General features: G+C 38.3%; 1 long non-coding RNA gene across 3 annotated transcripts in view; it reads left to right on the forward strand.

The window, feature by feature from the left end:
• Window positions 1–23,801, forward strand: part of LOC107985675 (uncharacterized) — a 528,885-nt gene that overhangs the window by 480,702 nt on the left and 24,382 nt on the right. Inside the window, exon 3 of one of the 3 annotated variants that reach the window (XR_001755783.2) lies at window positions 12,886–17,125. The exons of the other annotated variants lie outside the window; for them this stretch is intronic. This is a non-coding gene — a long non-coding RNA (uncharacterized LOC107985675). The remainder of the gene's footprint in view (window positions 1–12,885; window positions 17,126–23,801) is intronic. 3 annotated transcript variants of the gene reach the window in all.

The raw sequence follows: 23,801 nt of genomic DNA on the forward strand, positions 1-23,801 counted from the left end.
GTGCTTCTGTCTGTCATATGTGCTTTTTGTTTGTTGGTACCAACATGTGTACACTCCATTCTATGAGCATGCCATACTGTGTTCATCCATTTTCCTTTGAATGGATATTTACATTGAAATTCAACTCCTAGATATAGACCTAAGAGAAATGAGTGCATATATACACAAAAGAGTTGTACAAATATGTTCACAGCAGCTTTATACATATATATAATGTATGTGTGTGTGTGTATATATATATATATATATAGTCTTGCTCTAACAACATGTCAACAACAGACCGCATATACAACAGTGCTCCCATGAGATTATAATACTGTATTTTTACTGTACTGTGCCTTTTCCATATTTAGATACCCAACTTCTTATCATTGGGTTACAATTACCTACAGTATGTAGTACAGGATCAGGCTGTTCAGGTTTGTAGCCTAGGAGCAATAGGTTATACCATATAGTCCAGGTATATAGCAGGCTATACCATCTAAGTTTGTGTAAGTCCACTCTGTGATGTTCACATGATGACAAAATCATCTAAGGACACATTTCTCAGAACCTCTCACTATTGCTAAGCAACACATGACTGTGTATGATAGAAAAACATGAGGATACATGCAGGTAGCAAGGAAAGAAGAGAGCATCTTTGGGAAGTGAGGGGTAGGAATTCCAGGAGGATGAGCCAAAAATTTTGAAGCATAGGTCCAAAAGGCAATTTTAGTGTTAGGAGGCATTTTGCATTCTGCAGCCTTAGTTCAAATTCTACATAACTTCATTTCTGCCTCCCTTAGTTCACAGCTCTCTGATTCTATAAAAACATCAATATTCCTGATATCAAGGGCACTTAACTTCAGCAATGCAAGTGTCTGAGTTAAAGACGATTAAAATGCGCTGACTCCAAGTTTCTCTATTTGAATTATAGCCCATTCTACAGTATTGGGCCTTAAAGATCAGATTCCTCACCTCACCTTCCAAAACACTGATACCATGGACACCAAATAGCAAACAAATTACTAGAAGCAATGCAGTTTAGTAGACATGCCATTGGAATGGATATCATAACGCCTAGATTTTTACTGTAGTACTGCTACAGGAGTGCTGAATCCACTTAAACCCTTCTCGTAGCACTTTTGACTATAAAATAATAGCATTTGATTGCGTGACTGTAAGATTGTCTCACCTTCACTAACCTACAAGGTATTTGAAGTTCTCTTATTTCCTAAATTAGTAGTTTCACATCTCCCTTTAGTTCTCTATTTTCCCTCATGTCTCTTGAAGAGCATCTCCAAGGCTCATTCATTTTCCTTTTCAGGATTACGCACTTCACACAGAATCAAGAGGCTGGTTTCCCTGCACATGGAGCAGCTTTTCTCTGTATTTGTTTGTAAAAGACCCCAAGAAAGCAATCACATTTTCTTTCCGTAAATCAAAGCCAAAAGGTAGCTGCCAACACCTGACTTCATGGGTACCAACCAGCTGCAGTTACATACCAAGAGGAAATTTAATGAGTCATCTCCTTAAGATGACGTGCTGGTTGTTTAGAGTGAGTTCTCAATGATTCTGTAGTGAAATCATCACTTTTCTGCTGTCATATTTTTTTGTTTGTTTGTTTTAGAGACAGAGTCTCACTGTCGCCCAGGCTGGAGTGCAGTGGCGTGATCTCGGCTCACTGCAACTTCTGCCTCCTGGGTTCAAGTGAATCTTCTGCCTCAGCCTCCCCAGTAGCTGGGATTACAGGCACGTGCCCCCACTCCTGGCTAATTTTTGTATTTTCTGTAGAGACGTGGTTTCACCATACTGGCCAATCTGGTCTCAAACTCCCGGCCTCAAGTGATCCACTCGCCTCAGCCTCCCAAAGTGCTGGGGTTACAGGCGTGAGCCACCACACCTGGCCCCTGGAGTCATTTTATGAACATTAACAGTGTCAGTGTTGCCCAGATTTCCCACACAATATCATATCTGTGTAAAACATGACTCAGGCAGGGAAGCAGAACTACAAAGATAGCTAAAGCTATAGATATAAATGCAGATATGGATACAGATAGATATACACATATATATCCTCTTTATACATGTATGATTGATAAAAATATATGAAATCTATTTATCTTTCTAGAGGAAGCAAGAGAGAAAAAGCTAGAGAGCTATCATCTATCTGTATATGTGTTTATTCCATCCATCCATCCATCCATCCATCCATCCATCCATCCACGTATTCATCTATCCATGTGCATTAGTCCATTTTCACACTGCTAAAAAGAACTGCCTGAGACTGGGATATATATATATATATATATATATATATATATATATATATATATATATATGAGGTTTAATTGACTCACAGTTCCACATGGCTGGGGAGGCTTCAGGAAACTTATAATCATGGCGGAAGGTGAAAGGGAAGCAAGGCACCTTCTTTACAAGGCGGCAGGAAGGAGAAATACCCAGGGAAGGGGGAAGAGGCCCTTATAAAACCATTAGATCTCATGAGAATTCACTATCATGAGAACAGCATGGGGGAAACCAACCCAGTGATGCAATTACCTCCACCTAGTCTCTCCCTTGACATGTGGGAATTATGGTGATTACAATTCAAGATGAGATTTGGGTGGGGACACAAAGCCTAACCATATCACTATCTATCTATCTAGATCTATTCCGTCCATTTATCTATCCATCTCTCCACTCATTCATCCATTCATCTATATCTCTTCCAGCTATCTTTCTGTCCATCCATCTACCTATTCATCTATTCATCTATCTACCTAGACCTATTCTATCTGTCTATTCATCTATCTATATCTATTCCAGCTATCTATCTTTCTGTCCATCCATACATATATTCATCTATCCATCTATCTAGATCTATTCCACCTATCGTCTATCTATCCATCTATTCATCTGTCTATTCATCTATCCATCCATTTATATCTATTCCAGCTATCTATCTTTCTGTTCACCTATACATTCCATACATCTATTCATCTATCCATCTATCTATCTAGATCTATTCTACCTATCATCTATCTATCCATCTATTCATCCATACATCTATTCATCTATCCATCTATCTAGAACTATTTCAGGTAGCTCTCTATTTATTTGAGAGAGAGAGAGAGAGAGAGAGAGAAACAGGTCCAAATCCCACAGGGCAAGCTAGCAGGAAGTACAGCCTGAAACTCACCACATAGACTGAGGCTGCTCCCCAGAGGCAGAGTTTCTTCTTCTCTACATGTTTTTAAGCATCGACCCTGCTTTGAAAGCCTTTCCCCAGAATAAACAAGGACCACAAGGTTAACGGGATAATCTGCCTTACTTAAAGTCAACTGATTATGGGCTTTAATTACATATCTTTATGACAATGCCTACGTTCGTTTAAATAACGGGACACCATAGCTTAGCAAAGCTGGCATGTCCAAAAGATCATCACAGAATTCGAAAAAGGTGGAAAAGGTCAAGGGAGTCAGAAATAACAAGTAACGACAAGAATCTTGTGTGCATAAAGGTGTGCTGGGCGCTATTGCACAAATCATGTTCTCCCTGGTCCTGTGTACTCATCTGTAAAAAGCAGACAGTATGTTGCCCTTGGAGTATTGTCAGAAACGTAATAAGATAATGTGTATAATGCACCTTACACTCTTGGCAATCATCTGTTACTTAATAAAATTGCTCCCCCCCTTACTTATAAAACGTTGTTCAGAAGAATTTTGTTTCACAGAGATATTGTTTTATGTGCAGATTTGGGGCTCCTCTCTTTAGTGATTCTGCTGTATTAGGTCTTTTTTAGGAAGGGGCAAACATGTGCATGTTTAACCATCATTTAAATAATACTGGGCTGATGGAAAGGGACTACAATCTTTGAAATTAAGCCATAGAGAAAGTCAAAAGAACTTAAGTGCTTATTATATTTTTAAAGGTCTTCAAAGAAAGACAGTAGTCAGGTTAGTGAGGAACTATAATTAGTGAAAGAAGACTTTCTATTGATTAATCTATATTATAATTACCAATGAATATGGTATCTCTTGGATTGCAATAAAAATTTCCATTCTAAAGATAAAGGGCCGGGCACGGTGGCTCACACCTGTAATCCCAGCACTTTAGGAGGCCGAGGTGGGCGGATCACGACGTCAGGAGATCGCGACCATCCTGGCTAACATGGTGAAAGCCCGTCTCTACTAAAAATACAAAAAAAAATTATCCGGGCGTGGTGGCGGGTGACTGTAGTCCCAGCTACTCGGGAGGTGAGGCAGGAGAATGGCGTGAACCCGGGAGGCGAGCTTGCAGTGAGTGGAGATGGCGCCACTGCACTCCAGCCTGGGCAACAGAGCGAGACTCCATCTCCAAAAAAAAAAAAAAAGATAATGGATTGCTGGTCATGGTGGCTCATGCCTGTAACCCCAACACTTTGGGAGGCCAAGGCAGGCAGACTGCTTGGGCAATAAGCCAAAACCCTGTCTCTACAAAAACTACAAAAATTGCCAGGCATGGTGGTATATGTCTGTAGTCTCAGCTACTCAGGAGGCTGTGGTGGGAGGATCACCTGAGCCCAGGGAGGTAGAGGCTGCAGTAAGCCATGATCACACCACTGCACTCCAGCCTGGGCGACAGAGCAAAACCCTGTCTCAAAAAATATAAAATAATGACTTTCTTCTATCAAGTTTTAAAATGAAGAAGATGTGCTTTCAAATTAGTAACTTTTAAGTATTTTAAAATGCATTCATAAAGTTTAATAAATGAAACATGAATTTGCCAAGCCCTAAAAGGCAAAAGAGTAAATAGTCAACTGATAAGCATCATGCCTCCTGAAGCTATGTAAGACTGCTCCAGAAAATAAAATGTATTAAATATTAGAAATGGACTCTTCTTTCAAAAGTTTAAAACTTGAAACATCCTGCTACCTGCACATTGATGATGTGAAGGAGATGTTTATTACTGGGCGTGTACAACTGCCAATGTGGAAAATCGCAAAGGTGGTGGGGGCACCAACACTAAAAATCAACCCGAAGAATCTTTGTTCCTCAAGAAATAAGTAACTGTGCAAGTGGTGGGTTCTCTCAACACCTGGAAAGGCCCAGCCATTCCAGGATTCATGACAAGTGCCCTTCTAAGTGGGGTACATGTTTGTAAAGCTTGATTTTAAATTCCTAAATTTGAACTCATAAAATTGCTGGCATATTTCTTCTCAGCCCCGAGTATTCTTGCTAGGCAAAGTTCAGTAGCACAAGCACACCCACATTTCATCTGGGCCACATCCCTAGCCTACCCTCAGCTAAATCTTGGCATTCCATTGTATCGCTCTCTACAGGCCAGGCCTGAGGTAAAAAAAAAACATCTGCTAAGGCAATGAGGAATGATGAGACTTGCCACATGTCCCTCCTCCAGCTTCCCAAAACCTCACCTTAGACTCTGACTTAAATTGAAATCCACAATGTATACTTTAAAAATATGCACTTTGGCCTGAGCCAAGTGACTCATGCCTTTAATCCCAGCACTTTTGGAGGCTGAGGCAGGCGGATCACCTGAGGTCAGGAGTTCGAGATCAGCCTGGCCAACATGGTAAAACCCCGTCTCTACTAAAAACACACAAAAAAATTAGCCAGGCATGGTGGTGGGTGCCTGTTTTCCCAGCTAGTAGGGAGGCTGAGGCAGAAGAATCGCTTGAACCCAGACGGTGGAGGTTGCAGTGAGCCGAAATCGCACCACTGCACTCCAGCCTGGGTGGCAGAGTAAGACTCCATCTCCAAAAAAAAAAAAACAACAAAAAAAAAGCACATTGAAAAAGAAAAGATGTTTCCTGCTTCCTCAGTCTTCTCTGAATGTGTGTGTATTATCCAAAACACTTTTTTTTTGTTATGTTTTGTCTTGTCTTGTTTTCACGTTTAGTGAAGTGACTTCATTGGAAGGCACAAGAGTGAGAAGAATTTTAAGCAACAGAATGTAGGTAGATGTCATAAAATTGTTCTGAGAGGCCAATGCAGTCCCAGGGCCAGGATGGAGTGCCCGGTAAGAGCCTTGGTCTTGGTGCAGAAGAAAGACAGCATGTCATACATGCTTGAGTGTCCAGGTCCCCAGAGGAGGATTGGGAGAATAAGCTCCCTGTGCCATGAATATTGCCAGGGGTCCACACAGACCTGCATGGAGCAAGAACGAGGAGACATTGACCAACACTATTGAATGCCTATTGCATACCAAACACTGTAGATAGACTTGCAATAGAGAAAAATGAGAAAGTGGGGAAGGAACATGTCAATGATCAGACCCAGACCTTGTTTCTTAATTGCTGATTGTTTAAGAGACCAACAGGGGGAAATGCACTCAGAACAAGTGACTACACTGTTATACACTATTGGTGGGAATATAAATTAGTTCAACCTCGATAGAAATCAGTATGGAGATTTCCCAAAGAACTAAAAATAGAACTACCATCCAACCCAACAATCCCACTACTGGGTATCTACTCAAAGGAAAACAAATCATTATATAAAAAAATACATTTGCACTAGGATGTTCATTGCAGCACAATTCACAGTAGCAAAGTCAGGGAACAAATCTAACTGCTCATCAAGGGTTGATTGGATAAAGAAAATGTGATACATATAATCTATGGAATACTACACAGCCATAAAAAAGAATGAAACCGTGTCCTTTGAAGCAACATAAATGGAGCTGGAGGCCATAATCCTAAGCAAATTCAAGCAGAAACAGAAAATCAAATATTTCGTGTTCTCACTGATAAGTGGGAGTTAAACAATGGGTACACATGGACATAAAGATGGAAATAATAGAACACCATGAGACATGCTCAGTGTCATGACTGAAATACATGCAAAGTGCTGGGAGACTGTGGAGAACTCATGACTGATAACGGAGGAATGGTGGAGGAATGGCGAACATGTGCAGTCAGGATCTGGTGTAGCCCAAACAAGGAGAGATGCAGACTTTAAAGTTTAGAATTGAAAGTCTCTGACCTGGTGCTTCCCCACAGCTCTGAGGCTAAGGCTTGGTTAGAGATCTTTGTCCTCCAAGGACTGTTTTTCTTTCATAACATATAAAAAATATAACTAGCTCTATATTCTTTTTCAAAAGACATTTTCTTTATTAGCGTGAACCTCCCAAGCTTGGGAACATTACCTGAAGTTTTAAAAATACAGCCTTTCCTTTCATATGACTTCCTGCTGACTTTAAAATAGCCACAAAGGAAAAGATTCATATTAATTACAAGCTCCCATTGTGCTGAATATCCGAAATAAATACCCAGGCGCATCTTTCTTTCTTTAATTGCATGAAGCGGCAAGAGATAGGCCCTTTTTTTGTGACTGAAGAGGCAGAAAGTAGATATTTTGTTTATGCCAGTGAATAGTGTAGGACTCAGAATCCTTCTGATTCCTCTCCAAGTATTAAGCTTTTTGCTTCAAAATATGTAATACACATGGCAATATTTCCTTCTCTTGCTAGCTAAAGTGGCCATTAAAATCTTAAAATTGTTACTTATAAATAGACATATGAACATGCATTCAGCAGGGTTTTAAAATTCTTTTTCTTAAATTATAACTGAAAACTTTTAGATGCCTAATTCTTTGTGGGTGAGGTTTTTCGTCAACTGATCCCCAAACCTTAAAAGTTGGTTCTGAAATGAGTTTAATTTTTCATAGTTTAATCATTCTAATCCTAGAATTCCCTTTTAGGATGAGGTATTCCTTTCCTACTGTTCCTTTGCCATTAATCACAAATTTAGTTTCTTAAAACAATGCAAACATTATTTTTTATTTCTGCACGTTGGGAGTCCAAAATCAGTCTCGGAAGGCTAAAACTGATATTTTGACAACGTTGTGTCTCCTCTGAAGGCTCCTGGGGAGAATTCATTTTCTTGCCTTTTCCAACTTCTAGAGGCCACCTGCCTTCCTTAGCTTGTGGCTTCCTCCTCCATCACTCCAACCTCTGCTTCCCTTGTCCCATCTCCTTCTCTGATTCTGATTCTCCTGCCTCTCTCTTAAAGGACATTAATGATTATTTTGAACACAGGCAGATAATCCAAGATCATCTCCCCTTCTCAAAGTCCTTAACTTAATCACAACTGCAAAGTCCCTTTTGCCATATAAGGTGACACAGGTATGGGCTCTGGTGATTAAGGACATGGACATATTTGGAAAGCCATTCATTATTCACTCAGCATAGCTGAAAACACTTATGCATATTGATTTGATTTGGTTGTGTCCCCACTCAAATCTCATCTTGAATTGTACCTCCCACAATTCCCACTTTTGGGAAGGACAGGGTGGGAGGTAATTGGATCATGGGGGCAGGTCTTTCCTGTGCTGTTCTTGTGGTAGTGAATAAGTCTCATGAGATCTGATGGTTTTACAAAGGGTAGTTTCCCTGCACACGTTCTCTTCTCTTGTCTGTCACCATGTGAGATGTGCCTTTCACCTTATATCATGATTGTGAGGCCTTCCCAGCCATGTGGAACTGTGAGTCCATTAAACCTCTTTCTTTTGTAAATTGCCCAGGCTCGGGTGTGTCTCTATCAGCAGCATGAAAATAAACTAATACATATATACGCCTGTGAATGTATAATTTTCACATGTGAGAAAACTTAGTTGATAATTCTTGTAATAGTACTATTGTGTTTATACGAATCTGTTCAGGCTATCTTAACAAAACACTACAAACTACATGGCTTAAGCAACAGAATTCCGTTTCTCACAGTACTGGAGGATGGGAAGTTTAGGATCAAGGTCTAGCAACGTGGAGATTCTGGTAAAGGCTCTCTTGCTGGCTTCAGGCAGCCACATTCTAACATGGTAGAGAGAGAGTGCTGGTGTCTCTTCCCCTTCTTATAAGAGCACCAGATCTATTGAGTGAGGGCCCACTCTTATGACTTCATTTTAGTATTTCCTCAAAGGCCCTGTCTTCAGACACAGTCATATTGGGGGTTAGGGTTCCAAATTATTAATTTTGAGGGACACAATTCGGTCCATAGCAGTGTTTATATCCATTTAGGTTGTTGGGTGCAAGAGTGCACATCCAAAGATTGAAAACCACAGATTTGAAAACTGTGAAGCTTAGTAAAGAAATGAATCTAAGATTTGAATATGTAGTTTCAGAAAAGTTGTCAAACTAGAAGTCCAAGGACCAAACCACCCCACTCATGGCTATAAGAACTTTGCCTAACTGTATAATCTGTCTGATTATATTTTGTTTTCAAATACGGAGATAATAACATCTGTTTTTCCTTCTTTAAGGGGTCATTTCAAGGATAAAGTAGGACAACCATTGTCAAAGTGCTTCAAGGGCTCTGAAGTGCTTTATGAAAATCTGTTGTTTATCCATATCATTTGAAAGAGCAATGAACAGAGTGAGTGCTAAGAAATGCTTGTCCACTGTGGAAAGAATCCATGGAGGGCATGAGAACCATATGTTACAGATTTGCAAAGGTATTGGTGTTTTCATTGTTCCATAATTTTTTTAAGGAAAGGCGGGCCAGACATGGTGGTTCATGCCTGTAACCCCAGCATTTGGGGAGGCCAAGGTGGGAGGATCTCTTGAGCCCAAGAGTGTGAGACCAGCCTGGACAACATAGTGAGACGTTGTCTCTACAAAAAAATCTAAAATGTAGCGAGGCATGGTGGTGCATGCCCATAGGCCCAGCTACTTGGAGGCTGAGGTGGGAGGATTGCTTGAGGCCAGGAGTTTCAGGCTGCAGTAAGCTATGGTCGCGCCACTGCACTTTAGCCTGAGGGACAGAGTGAGATCGTGTCTCAAATAAGTGAATAAATAAAGTATAGGCAAAAAAGAGCAAAAAAAATAGTTACTAAATACAAATAAATTGCTCTCCTTTATAGGGAAAGCCCTAGAAAACATGGGTGGGTACCACCTATGATATAAGTTAATGGTTAATCAGAAGAAGAAAAGAAAACCAGAATAAAGTTAAGAATGAGTTATAAAAATTTGAATTTGGGCTAATTTTCCCTGTATGTAGGTACATAAATGTGTTTTTTCCTCACTTTGCATATGCCCAGCAAATACAGGGTTTAGGTAAATTTTATCCTGTCATCTTAATAAAAAATAATTTTTGTAGGAAGCACATGATTAGCTAACCCTGGTGCGAAATTTCCAGGAACAACCTGAGGAGGTCAAAGAAACCCATGGCCAGTGCTGTTGCTCCTCCAATGACAGCTACGGAAATTATTAAAGACAAGTTCTAGGGAAAGAACCAGTTCCTTAAAGGGTGATCTTTAAAACCCTAAGCCTATGAAATATGAGTTAATGTCACAGCCTATATTTTATTAAAAGTTGGATCTGTGAACTGTCTTCTTAAACACTTTACTACGGGTGATATCTCTTAAAATGTGTCTGTACATTGTCTCACAAAATCCAGATTTAGATGAGAAAGGAATCTTAATGTCATCGTAATCTTGTTAGGAGGAACCATGGTATTGTGTGACATGGAACAAGTTTAAGCTTTATTTCATTATTGTCCCCTATTCCAACAGCTTAGCCTTTTCCAATATGTGTCAAAACACACAGCTTTTAATCAGCTTAATCAGAGTAACATTATATTAGTTCAACAGTCTGCCATGTCAGCATACAGTGTGCACTCGGAGAAACATTTTGCAAACACAATGAAACCCGAAATTTTCATGAGTCTCTAAAACATAATCAGGGTGGCTAATACACTGTGTCAGCAACAGCAGAGCAAATCTGGGAACTGTAATTAAAAAGATGATATTTTTTCTCTCAAATGAATTCTGTAGAAAATTCTTGCAAGAGAATTGCATTATGCTGCACTGTGTGTGTGTGTGTGTGTGTGTGTGTGTGTGTGTGTGCGTGTGTGTGTGTGTGTGTGGTGGCTATGTTGAACCTTGATTTAGTATCTCTTCTTCAAGATTTTGTATTCCTGCTGCTCAAAACAATTGAGCCTAATCTCCACTAGGTTGAATAGTATGGTCAAAGCAAACCTAAAGAATTGTGGTTCTGTATGAATTGGCTACCAAACCACTGTATGAAAAGAATAATGACTCAATAACAAAACCATCCAGTAACTTTCGTGGAAAACACTATTTATCTGAGTAAACTACAGCTCTCTATAAAGTATCTGGTATGGTGTCAATCTGTCTTGCACTTTGGGAAAAAACTCTTAAATTGACATTTATCAGGTTTCCAATAATGCCATCCTATCATTCAAATCTCTTGTAAACAGCACACAGCAGTAACAATTTATGGCTTGCTGATTTAGGTTTTATTTTGCAAATTACAGATAAATCATACATTGGGTTGCGAAAATGGCAGGCTTTCTACATTTGCCTACCATGATGAAGTGATTAGCCGTCACATTCAGAATACATATTGGAAAATGGCGTGGTATGAAGGTTGTTGGCAGATCCAAAAGTTTTAACTTGTCTGGTCAAAACAAGGAAATCTACAGAGATGACAGGAAGAAAATATGATGGTGGCTTCAGGTAAAGGCTTGATTTCCTCTACATGCTCTTCAATATCAGAAAGATCATACAGTCCTTCTCCTCCAGACACTTACAGGCTCCAATGAGCACCCATTAGGTTGGTGCCTCCACCGTGGTCTGAAGTCACAAGGAAGCCATAGCCACCTGCTGCCTGAGGAGCGATGGCAGTATCATCCCATGATCTGACGTAGACGTTCTCTCAACTCCTGAGAGATTCAGCTCTACTTTGAAAATGTATCTTCAATATATCCTCAACTTCTTCCAGGTCTAGGCTCAAATGTCATTTGATCAGAAGGGCTTTCCTGGCTGCACCCTGTTAAGGAGACTGTCCTCTTCTCTACAAAAGTTGCTGTTCTCTTACCTGTTGCAATTTTTCTCCTTGGTTTTCTTCACTATCTCTGTGGGGTGTGTGTGTGTTCCCTCCCTATTGCATCTTTCTTTGTGATACTTTTACAAAATACTTGAACTATCATCTCCGAGTGTTGGACTATATCATTGTAATAAAGTACAAGTTGAATCTCTTCAGAACAGCACAGCACAAACTCATTTAATTTATTGGTAATATGAGGACACTATTATTTACCTCCCCACATTTTCTTACTGATTTCGTAATATCATATCTGTGAAATGCTCAGGAAGTATTTGCCATGTAACTGGTGGTTAAGATTTTATTATTCAGCATTAGCAAAAGCATTCAGTGTGCTTCTCTCAACATCTAAGAATAGGTCAGGCACCGTGGCTCATGCCTGTAATCCCAGCACTTTGGGAGGCTGAGGTGAGAGGATTGCTTGATTCCAGGAATTCAAGACCAGCCTGGGCAACATAGTGAGACCCCATCTGTACAAAACAAATTGAGAATTAGCCAGGCATGGTTGTTTGTGCCTGTAGTTCCAGCTACTCGGAAATAGAAGCGGAAAGATTGCTTCAGCCCGGGAGGTCAAGGCTATAGTGAGCTATGACTGCACCACTTTAATCCAGCCTAGGTGATGGAATAAGACTCCATCTCAAAAGTAAAAATCTAATGATAAACTGTTAAGATGATCTACAGACAGATAAAGAGGCAGCTTACATCTCCAGTGTCTCCCCAGCCATTCATCCTGGTCGCATGAGCTTATAACAACTCAACTACAGGATGTGCCCAAGTTTAGAGAAAACCGGAATTGTTATGACAGTCAAATCTGCCCCACAACCCCTCATTGCAAACGTGGTTGGGTAATAAATATGACTTACTTTTATAGAGCCCTCACTGCTGTGATTTGAATGTTAGTGTCCCTCCAAAATTTATGGTTGATACTTAATCTCCAATGCAATAGTATTAGGAGGATTTGAGGGATGATTAGGTCATGAGAGCTCCAGCCTCCTGAATGGGATGAGTACCCTTATGAAAGAAATTGAGAGGATCTCTTTGGCCCTTTCACCCTTTATCCAGGTGAGGACACAATGAGAGGCACCATCTACAAAGCAGAGAGCAGACTTCACCATATACCAAATCTGTCTGTGCCTTGATCTTGGATTTCTCAGCCTCCAGAATTGTGAGAAATAAATTTATATTATGTATAAATTATACCATCTAAGATGTTTGGTTATAGCCGCAGATAGGGATTGAGACTCTCACCATTGGCAGGGCACTGCACCCTGGACTTGTCACATATCATGATGTCTGATTTTTGTGATAACTGAGTGAGGTTGGCATTGATGTTGGCCAACCAACCGTTGACCAACTAATTTGAGTCTGCTCAAGGTCCCCAGAGTGAGTGAGTGGCAGAACTGTGAAGGAAACCCGTTTTCCTTCAATTCCATAGTCTGGGATCTTGGTGGCCATGCCATTTTGCCCTCTGATATTATTTGGAAATAGGGGAAGATCATAGGTTTTAGACCCAGAAAGAGATGTGTTTGAATCTTGGCTCTGCTTCTAATGCAAATTCTGACCCAAACTCACTACGTCTGAAGTGCTTGCACATGGGAAGCACCCCATTACCATGTGCTTCTTTGAATATCAAATTATATTTGTTTAGACATTAGGAGGTGGTGTTTATGTATGGCAAGATATTTGTGTAATATATTTATTCAAAATACAAAATATTTACAGGACCCAGAAGGCTCATTCATTTTGTACTAAAAACTACTGACCAATGGAGATATTCCAAATACACAATTGCATCTCACATCATGACTTATATGCTTTAAATGAGTTAAACTTGAATCACTTTAGTATATGAACATTTTGATCAGCCAGTGAAGCTTTCCATAAATGCTATCAGATGCTAGACTGGTGAAAAGATATAGACATTAGAGTGAGTATTGGCCTATATACTGGAAATGTATTATGTTATTATGAATTTATTCTCATCAAAATTACCCCTCTTGGCAAATTCAGCACATGATGTCACATATATTACCAGAGGGCCATTTTCTTTCCAGAGATAACTATAAGATAGATCAGAAATAAAATGAGAGTTGTGAGCGGTCAGGTACAGTATAATTCTATTGGGTAACATTTCTTTTGAAACACGAGTATATAATATGATCAGGGCAATCATTTTTATTAACGAAGATAGTTTCATTTTTATGCTTCCAATCATTGCTATGCTTCTTAATAGGCTTGGGGTTATTTTTTTCTTTCTAAAGTGAAGAAAATGTATTTCTTCTCCATTGTTTTACTGAAATGCATAATATGTGGAAATATGTAGGTCAGTAAGATTCTGGGAAAAAAATAAACATAATAGATTTTTGCCTCCTTTCTTAAAAATGCCTTTACAATTGTTTTGTTGTTGCTAAAATGGAACATTTTACAACATTCTACATAAGGGATAAAGTAAGTTTTCAAAATTATCATCATGTTTTAGACATAGCATGCATATACTGTACAAATCTTTTAAGTAAAATTCGTTTTATTGCTGCTTCAATAAAGCTGTTTTCTTCTACCCTACCACTGGCTTACCTTTGAATCCTTGGCAAAGCCAAAAATCCTGAAAGGCTAAGCCCCACTTTGGGACTCGCCTGTCCTGCATCAAATTCACTCTCCCAGTAGCCATATGTGAGAATTTCAGTCACTCCACAGACATGTGCAAATACATGGGATTGTCAATCGTTTCACAATTTCATTCATTCTGGTAGCTGGGCAGTAGCATGTCGTTATGGCTTTAACTTATATTTTCCTGATAAGGAATGCTGTTGAGTAACTTTCCATATGCTTATGGGCCAGTCAGAAATCTTTATTTGGAAATGGTCTGTCTAAATCTTCTGAAAATGTTTAATCGAGTTGTCTTTTTTGTACTAATTTATAGGATTTCTTAATATATTCTAAATATCAGTCCTCTGGAGACTATAATGTCTCATTCGTTATCATATCCTTTAACTCTCTTAGTGATGTCTAGTGATGAGCAAAGTTTTTTAATTTTAATGATAACCAATTTATCAGTTTTTTATGCCTAGTAATTTTTGTGTTCTCTTTAAAAATTGTTGTATATCCCAAGCTCATAAACATATTCTTCTTGTTTTTTTCTATAAGTTTTATAATTCGTATTTTACAGATCATCTGTGACCTATTTCATATTAATTTATTTGAAGTAGAGGTAAAACTTTATTTTTAAAATATTGAAATCCAATGGAACCAACAACACCTATTTAAGCAACCATTCTTTCCCGCCAATGAATTGCTGTAACACTTTTTCATAAATATGTCGACTGCATATATGGGATGTACTCTAGATTCTAGACTCTGTTTTCTATGTATCTTTTAGTGTATTCTTGTGCTACTATCTTGATTACCATAGCTTCGTTGTAATTCTTGATATCTGGTAAATTAAGTATTTGGCCTTTGTTTTTCTTCAAGGCTACCTTAGCTGCTTTTTAGGTACTTCGGCTTTGGATATAAATTTTACAAGTCAGTTTCACAATTTCCACAAAATCTTTGGTAAAATATTGATAGGGATTGCACAAGCTTGGAAAAATGGGTATCTTAAAAATATTGGGTCCTCCAGACTATAAACATGATATATTTCCGTATGTAGGCCTTTAATTTCTCTGAGCATTTTTGTTGTTGTTTCCTGTGTAGAAGTGTCACATAATTAACTAGATCGATTTATGTGTACATGTGAATTCATTTATTTATTTGTTCCCTTACATTTAAATTTCTAACTCATTGTTCCTTGTATCATTGTCAGGTTTTACTAAATTATGAAAGAACTATTTGACCCCAATCCTTGGTCAAGCCAATAATAGCAGAAGTAATTTTTAAACTCTTTCCTCACTCCACAAACACCAACGTATATAGATAACATTCTACATCCATCTTCTTTTCCGTTCTCACATGTTTTCCCATGCATTTCAGATGCAACTGTTTCTCAGCAATTTTTTACCATACTCCCATGATGGAACTTCAGTCATATCCCTCACCAATTCAACCATACACCATTTCAGGATTAACCATTATTAAATATCACCTTCAGCATAGCATTTTCTTACCAGATCTTCATCTCTTCCTCATATTTTCCATCAATTATGTGTCAAAGCTGCACTCTTTCCAGCCCTGCGTCTTCCTCTTCCTCTTCCTCTATGTGTACTTTGGACACCAAGTCAAACCAGCCACCTTAACAGACCTTAAACATTACCTTTGCTTAGGCTGCTTAGTGCCTCTGGACTCCCGCTTCTCCCTTGATTCCTGTCTCTTCTAGTATCCATCCCTCAAGAAACATGGAAGTCAAAATTGGGTTTTAAATAAGATAATTTACTAGCCCTCAACCAAACACAATCAATTGATTCTTTGAAACCATATTGTTCTTTTGAGGGTACATTTTTTTAGTATACCCTGGTAGGCTACTATTTGAGGAGATATTTCCCTTCAACCTTCTTCTGACATTGTTTGGTTTATCTTTGTATCCTTAAAAGCATTCAGCACAGTCTTTGGTTCATGGTTGATACTTAATAAATATATGTTGACTTAAATCTAATTTTAATAGATCCAAGTAGAAAAGCATAATACAGTCGTGCTATCTTTTCTGCTTGAGTTATGTCAGCCATGGGATCCTGAGAAGACCTTTTGAAGTGCTAAAATGAAAAATAGGCAAAACTCCATTCTGCTCTAGCTAGAGGATCATTAAAAAATTCAGACCCTTCACTTTTTTAAAGCATATAATTTATGTGCATTATAAAGCAACCCTTTGTTTTCACAAGTCAACATTCTTAATGCAGTCTGTCAAAGTGCATTCTCAGTAAATTGCTTTGATGAATATGCCAGCTCAGTCCATTTCTTTTAACCTGAAGAGAGAAAGAAAGATTTTAAAAAAGACTTTTGCAGCAGCAAAAAAGAAAGTAAATAAAACAGATCTAGACTTTGCTGCATATTTTTATGTCCAAGCTTGCAAATAATTTCCCTTAACACTCTCATGAGTCAGAACTCTGCCTCCAAATTTGTAATTCAAAAGCCTTGTTTTTGTTTTAGAACAGATAGAGAGTGCCAGTTTCTGCTTCTGCCCCACACACTCACCCATGAACAGGTCCTGAACATGCACAGACTTGATATGGTTTTTAAAACACAGATGGGAAAGCCATCCTCAGTTTGACACACCTAAGCTCCAGCACTTCAAGGTAGTAAGTAAACAATTCTTTCTTTTCTAGAGACCCTCACTGCAAAATCTCACCCGGAAGACTTCAAGGACTGGATATTGGTTAGTTTGGAACTGACTTTTTTCTATGTGGCAGTTGGTGTAGCTAATAGAATGTAATAACACTTCCTGCACATATTTTCCTTGAATATCTAAAATAGATTTCTTAGTTTTCCTCCCCCACCAGGGGTGGTGGAGTTTTATGTAATGATGTAGGAAAACAGAGTAGTAGAGAGACACTTTTTGTCTTAATGGGAGCTTCTGATGAAGTGAGACTTAATCCAAAACATGTTGATTCAAACACAATGTAACCACACTGTCTTGTTATAGATCTTTATAAATATATGTCTGTGTGCAAATATTCACTCTCAAATACGCATACACTCTTTTAGGGAAAACAACTTGTCCCTCACTTTGATACATATTCAACTACAGAAAGGCTGCCACTTCCTTCAATTAACACCAAACTCTCCACGGAATTTGATCAGGTTTAGGGGGAGATGCTCTCTTTTGGATTTCCTCACACTTCCCTTGAGTCATAACTATTGCTTCCTTGGGCAGAAAGATGAAAGTAGGGTTTACTACAGAAAGCTACAAAATTCTTCTAAAACATAATGTCAAATAAATAATAAAAGAAAATAACCTGTGAATACTGTATTTCTTATTGTGTGTACACAATTTCTCACTGTGATTTTTTTCTGCTTTACGACTGGATACCAATACCAACCAGACATTCATTTTCCTCAGGTATTACCTGGGTAAAAAACACCCCTCTGGTAAATCAGCTGGCAGAATGTCCTCGGTCTGAAAGATATTACTGAGGATTCCTTTCAAAAGCTTAGGAAATGGCCTCAGATTGACACTCCTGACTTGTTGAGTGCCAATAGGAAATGTGGCAGGGAAAGAGTAAGAGCTTGGGACCCAGGCAGTGGAGGGGTAAGAGGATGCAGCTTATATGGAAGAGCGTGGGACCCAAGCATTTGGAGAGATAAGAGGATGTGGCTTGTAAGTGTCCTTCCTGGAAACCCCACAGGTGACAAACCGCACAGGTGCATTCCGCCTATGCTGATGCTCTGACCACTTCTGAGTTGTCATTTATGTCTCCCCGGTATCCCCAGAAGAAACTCGCCAACCTCAAGTTGGAAGTCAAGGCTTCCAAAACTGATGTGGGAGAGGGGAGTAGATAGAGTCTAACTCTCAACACTTACACAGGTGGGCTAAACCAGTTATCCACTCTCTCCTCCCACTACCCTTCACCAGGAACTCACTTTTCTGGTGTTGATTCCCTGGAGCAGCCTTTCTGAACTCCAAGGTCATGGTCACCCTATTCCACTTCCCAAGCATGTCCTTCTCCAGCCCTATGACACACAGAAGCCTATGGACTTCTCATCATACATCATAAGGGCTTCTTCTTTGAGTCCTGGGTCACCCCATCTCATATTAGTAAACTAAGACAACCAAGTATCTTTAATCACCATGGGTTTTTTTTGGTGGCGGAAGGGAAGGGGCAAAAAAATGTGGAGTGTCTAAGTCTTACCTTTCTGAAGATTCAGTTAGTTCCAATAGAGGAAGGGACTTGCATGGCTCCTAATGATTTTTCAAAGTAGCAACTTGAAGGCAGCACATTGGAGCATTTCACAGCTGCATCCCCGCTTGACAATCCTGCCTCTTCTACAAAGCTAAGAATACTACTCAGCTAACCCTCAGTCCTTGAGGAGGAGAAGCCTGAGAAGATAGAATTTGATCCTGCAGAATACATGGCAGGAATTGGTTGAGTCACAGCTATGTCTCCCTGAAATGTGTGTGTTTTTTTTTTTCATGAGGATGTTGCTTTTCTCAACATGAATATAAAATACAGTGCAGGAACAGGGGCTCACACCTGTAATCCCAGCACTTTTAGAGGACTGCTTGATGCCAGGAGTTCCAGACTAGCCTGGACAACATAGCAAGACTCTGTCTCTACAACAACAACAAAAAATGTAAAAATAAGCCAGGTGTCATGGTGTGCACCTGTAGTCCCAGCTACTTGGGAGGCTGAGGCAGGAGAATTTCTTGAGACCATGGGTTCAAGGCTGCAGTGAACTATGATTACACCACTGCACTCCAACATTGGTGACAGAGCAAGATCCTGTCTCCAAATATATATATATAATATATTATATATATATAAAATATATATATATAATATATTATATATATAAAATATGTATATAATATATATATAATATGTATAATATAGATATAAATATATAATATATAAGATATAATATATATATATTATATATATAATATATAATATATTATATATATTATATATAATATATAATATATAATATATTATATATATAAAATATATATAATATATAAAATGTATATATAATATATAAAATACACATAATATATAAAATTTAAAATATATATAAAATATAAAATATATATAAAAATATATATAATATATATATAAAATATATATATACACTCATATGTATGTATATGTATATATGGCAATTAAAAAATACTTGGTTGTCTTACTTCAGTCGTGTTTATCCTTGTGTGTGTGAGCAGGTATTTTGAAAGATGAAGACCTAAGATGGATGTACAGGGCCCTAAAGTTTTGGCCCAGAATATATGCACCTATTTAAGCCTGGATGAGCCCAACTTTACACCTTGGAATGAGTAGTGATGTGCAAAATACCTGAGGTCAGGAACCAGACCTGTCTAGTTCAGCACTGTACTTGCAAAACCCAGTGTTGGAATTGAGCTTTTCCACTCAAATATTTAGTAAATGCTCAAATAAATGAATGGATGTGAATCAATAGATGAGGAAACTGTGATGTTGTGATGAGATTATTCTGTAGGAACCAGAAGCAAAGGTGACCCACTGGTGTGTAGCAAGAGGCATTTCTCCTAAGGAGAGGGGCAACTCCCATTTCCAACTGCCCATGAGAGGTGTAGATTCAGGAGCAGAGATTGGGAGGCAGAGGAGGAGCCTTTGGCTCAGGTGAGCAGAGGATTTCCCTCTACTTTTAGCTTTAGAGAATTGAGATTGAAGGGCACTCCTCTTGGTGACTTTAACATGTTCTTGACAATGAACTGTCATTGAGTTGCTACCTTAAAAAATCATTACCAGCTATGCAAGTTTCTTCCCGGATTAGGACTAACTTAATCTTCAGAAAGGGACGATTTAGACGCTCTACATTTCTTGCTCCATGCCGCAAGCCTCAAGAGATTGAACTCAAGGCTGTCTGTTGTATCAATTCCCAGCTTGTTATTTAAAGCCTATGTGGTCAATGTGAGGTCCATTCTGGTTGGGTGTGATGGCTCACACCTGTAATCCCAGCCACGAGGCAGGTGGACCATTTGAGGTCGGGAGTTCGAGACCAGCATGGCCAACATGGCAAAACCCTGTCTCTACTAAAAATACAAAAATTAGCTGGAAGTGGTAGTGCACACCTGTAGTTCCAGCTACTCAGGAGGCTGAGGCAGGAGAATCGCTTGAACCTGGGAGGTGGAGGTTGCAGTGAGCCAAGATCTCATCACTGCACTCCAGCCTGGGCGACAGAGCGATTCTGTCTCAAAAAAAAAAAAAAAAAAAAATGAGGTCCATTCTTTCTATTTAGAGGCAAACTCCTAAAGGCAAGAGTCATGGTTAATTCTTTATCATCCATAATGCCTAACAAAGATAGGCCTTGTTCCCATACATATTCAGATGTACAGTTGACTTTTGAACAACACAGGAGTTAGGGGTGTCAGACCTCATGCACTTAAAAAAATCTATGTACAACTTTTGATTCCCTAAAAACTTAACTACTAATAGCCTACTGTTGACTGGAAGCCTTACTGGTAACATAAATAGCCAACTGACACATATTTTGTATGCTATATATATATTATATGCTGTATTCTTACAGTAAAGTAAGCTAGAGAAAAGAAAATGTTATTAAGAAAACTATGAGGAAGAGAAAATATATTTAGTATTCATTAAGTAGAAGTGGATCATCATAAAGGTCTTCATCCTTGTCTTCATGTTGAGGAGGTTGAGGAGCAGGAGGAAGAGGAGGGGTTGGTCTTGCTGTCTCAAGGGTGACAGAGGTGGAAGAAAATCCTCATATAAGTGGAGCTTCACAGTTCAAGCTCATGTTGTTCAAGGATCAGTTGTATTCGTTTTACTGTATTTGTTTAGGTTTCATAGTTTGCTTGTGATGGGCCCCCTACTCCAGGAAATTAAGAGAGTTGGACTCTGCATCTGTATTAATTTTCACAAACAACATCTGAACACATGAGTATGTGGCTCCTTGTTATCAATTTCTGAAGACAGACTCAGGCAGAATTTTACTGAAAGTCGATCTGTAATCTTAATAGTTATTTGACAACTCAATTCTAAGTAAGTTGAACTTAATCTTAATAGTTATTTGACAACTCAATTCTAAGTAAGTTGAACTTAATCTTAATAGTTATTTGACTTCTCAATTCTAAGTAACTTTTTACAGTTACCTAGCACTTTGTACAGTACTGAAATAGAGCTTTGCCATAATTATTTTCGCAAGCTAATGAGGAAAGCCAGCAACATTGTGAATCCAGTTGATAAAGGCATGTAGGCGCCACCGCCCAGTTCCAGAGATGTGGCATAAGTATGGGCAGCCTCTACATCTTACTTGACATCACGATCAAGTGGGGCTAATATTTATCTTCCTCAAGTTTGCTCTCTTACATGCTTCACATACTTACATGTAATTAGTGTTTGCAACATGCTTTAAGTTCCTGAGATGCCTGTGAAAATCAGAAGTATGTCAAAGAATAGTTTGAATACAGTGAGTGTGGAGGGCTTTGTAAATTTGCAACCCATGGACGCTTCAAAGGCATAGCTTCAAAGGCATATTAGCAATAGCATGTATCTAAGATGATTTAAAAGCTTTTGCATATAGGTTTTACATCCTTTTATTGGAACACGAATAAACTCAAGGAGTCTCAGGTCCTTAAAATTAAAGGGATGGAATGATATTTCCTTTATTGTTTTTCCCAGTTTATGGATACACGACTTATTTGTGAACAGTAAAAAAGCCTAAATGTTATCTGCTTTGGAATACAAAACGTCTGTTCTTATCAGATAATACAACTTTCCTTACAAACCCCATGGTTTCAGGAAATAAGCTGAATTTTTCTCCTTTCATAGAATATTTGAAAACTATATATGACCTTAGCAGATCCTAAATAGCTAACATTTGAGTCTACTGTAGCACTGAGACCTAAAGATGTAGTATTTTAATGTTTCAATTTAAATGATTATTTTCCCAGGCATTTAGATATAAGTGGTACTATAAGGTAAGTAAATACAGGTTCACAAACATTATGTTATCTTGGATTTTCTGCCACTTCACAAGATGACTCACATAAAGTTAACTACGGGCTTGAGTAAATATTCTTATTAAACAGAATATATTATTGCATAGATTTGTATTGAGTGCCTAAAATTGTATTAGTTATGAATACAACGAACACTAAACACTTACATACTTATACCATGAAAAAAATCTCTCTCTTAGAGTAGGGCAAGTGAATTGCTGGGGAGCTTCACCGCATTCCCAGGGACATACACACTGGGGCAAGTGAGTTGCTGGGGAGTTTTACTGCATTCCTGGGGACTGCACACATCATGGTTTCATTCAAATGGGTTTTGTTTCTTCAAAATATTGCAAGCAAAACCCAAGTAAACAAGAAAAAAGATTTGCACCGTGTTCACATTTCTTGCATGAATAATGCAGACCATCAAAAGATAGATGTGTGCTATAAGCAGGCAGATAAAGATAGATAGATACATACAGAGATGGATAGATAGAAATAGATGACAGGTAGATAGATAGATACATACATACATGATGCATACATACATACATAGATGATGGATGGATAGAGATCAATGATAGAAGATAGATAGATGGATACCTACATAAAAACATATGATAGATGGATAGCTAGGTAGATATATAGATGATAGATACATACATACATAGATACATAGATAGAGATTAATGATGGATAGATAGATACATAGATGGATGGATATAGATGATAGATGGATAGATAGATATAGAGATTAGATAGATATAAATAGATGATAGATGATAGACACAGAGATTAGATAGATATGATAGATATGTAGGTAGTGAGAGAGATAAGTAGAAATGGATGATAGATGATAGATAGATACATCCATACATGGATGAATAGATAGATAGATAGATAGATAGATAGATAGATAGATAGATAGATAGATAGATACACATAGAGATTAGATAGATAGATAGATAGATAGATAGATAGATAGATAGATAGATAGATACATTTTATTTCTGGTAACAAGCAAGATAGATAGACAAAAGAAAAGATCAATGATTATTAAAAGCCAAGTATATTTTCATCTCCCATAACTTGATGAAAGATAAGTTGTTTCCTGGCATCAGAACATGTGCAAAGCTTAACTTTTCTGTAATCCTGGATTCCTTGCTGCAGGTTGAACCCTCAAATTTTAGGTCACATCCCTTCCATTGAACAGCATGATGCATTTCTTTACAGCAAGTAGTTTAGCTTATCTCCACTCTTTGTGGACAGAGGCTGTAGCACCAGAGAAACACAACCATTTCTATGTGAAATGTGGTCTAAGTTAATGAGACTTTAGCCAACTCTTCATGTGAAAATAGAATCTCTCTAAAATATATGCTTATCCAGAGAAGGGAAGCCA

Source organism: Homo sapiens, chromosome X, assembly GCF_000001405.40.
Source record: "Homo sapiens chromosome X, GRCh38.p14 Primary Assembly".
Taxonomy (NCBI): Eukaryota; Metazoa; Chordata; class Mammalia; order Primates; family Hominidae; genus Homo; species Homo sapiens.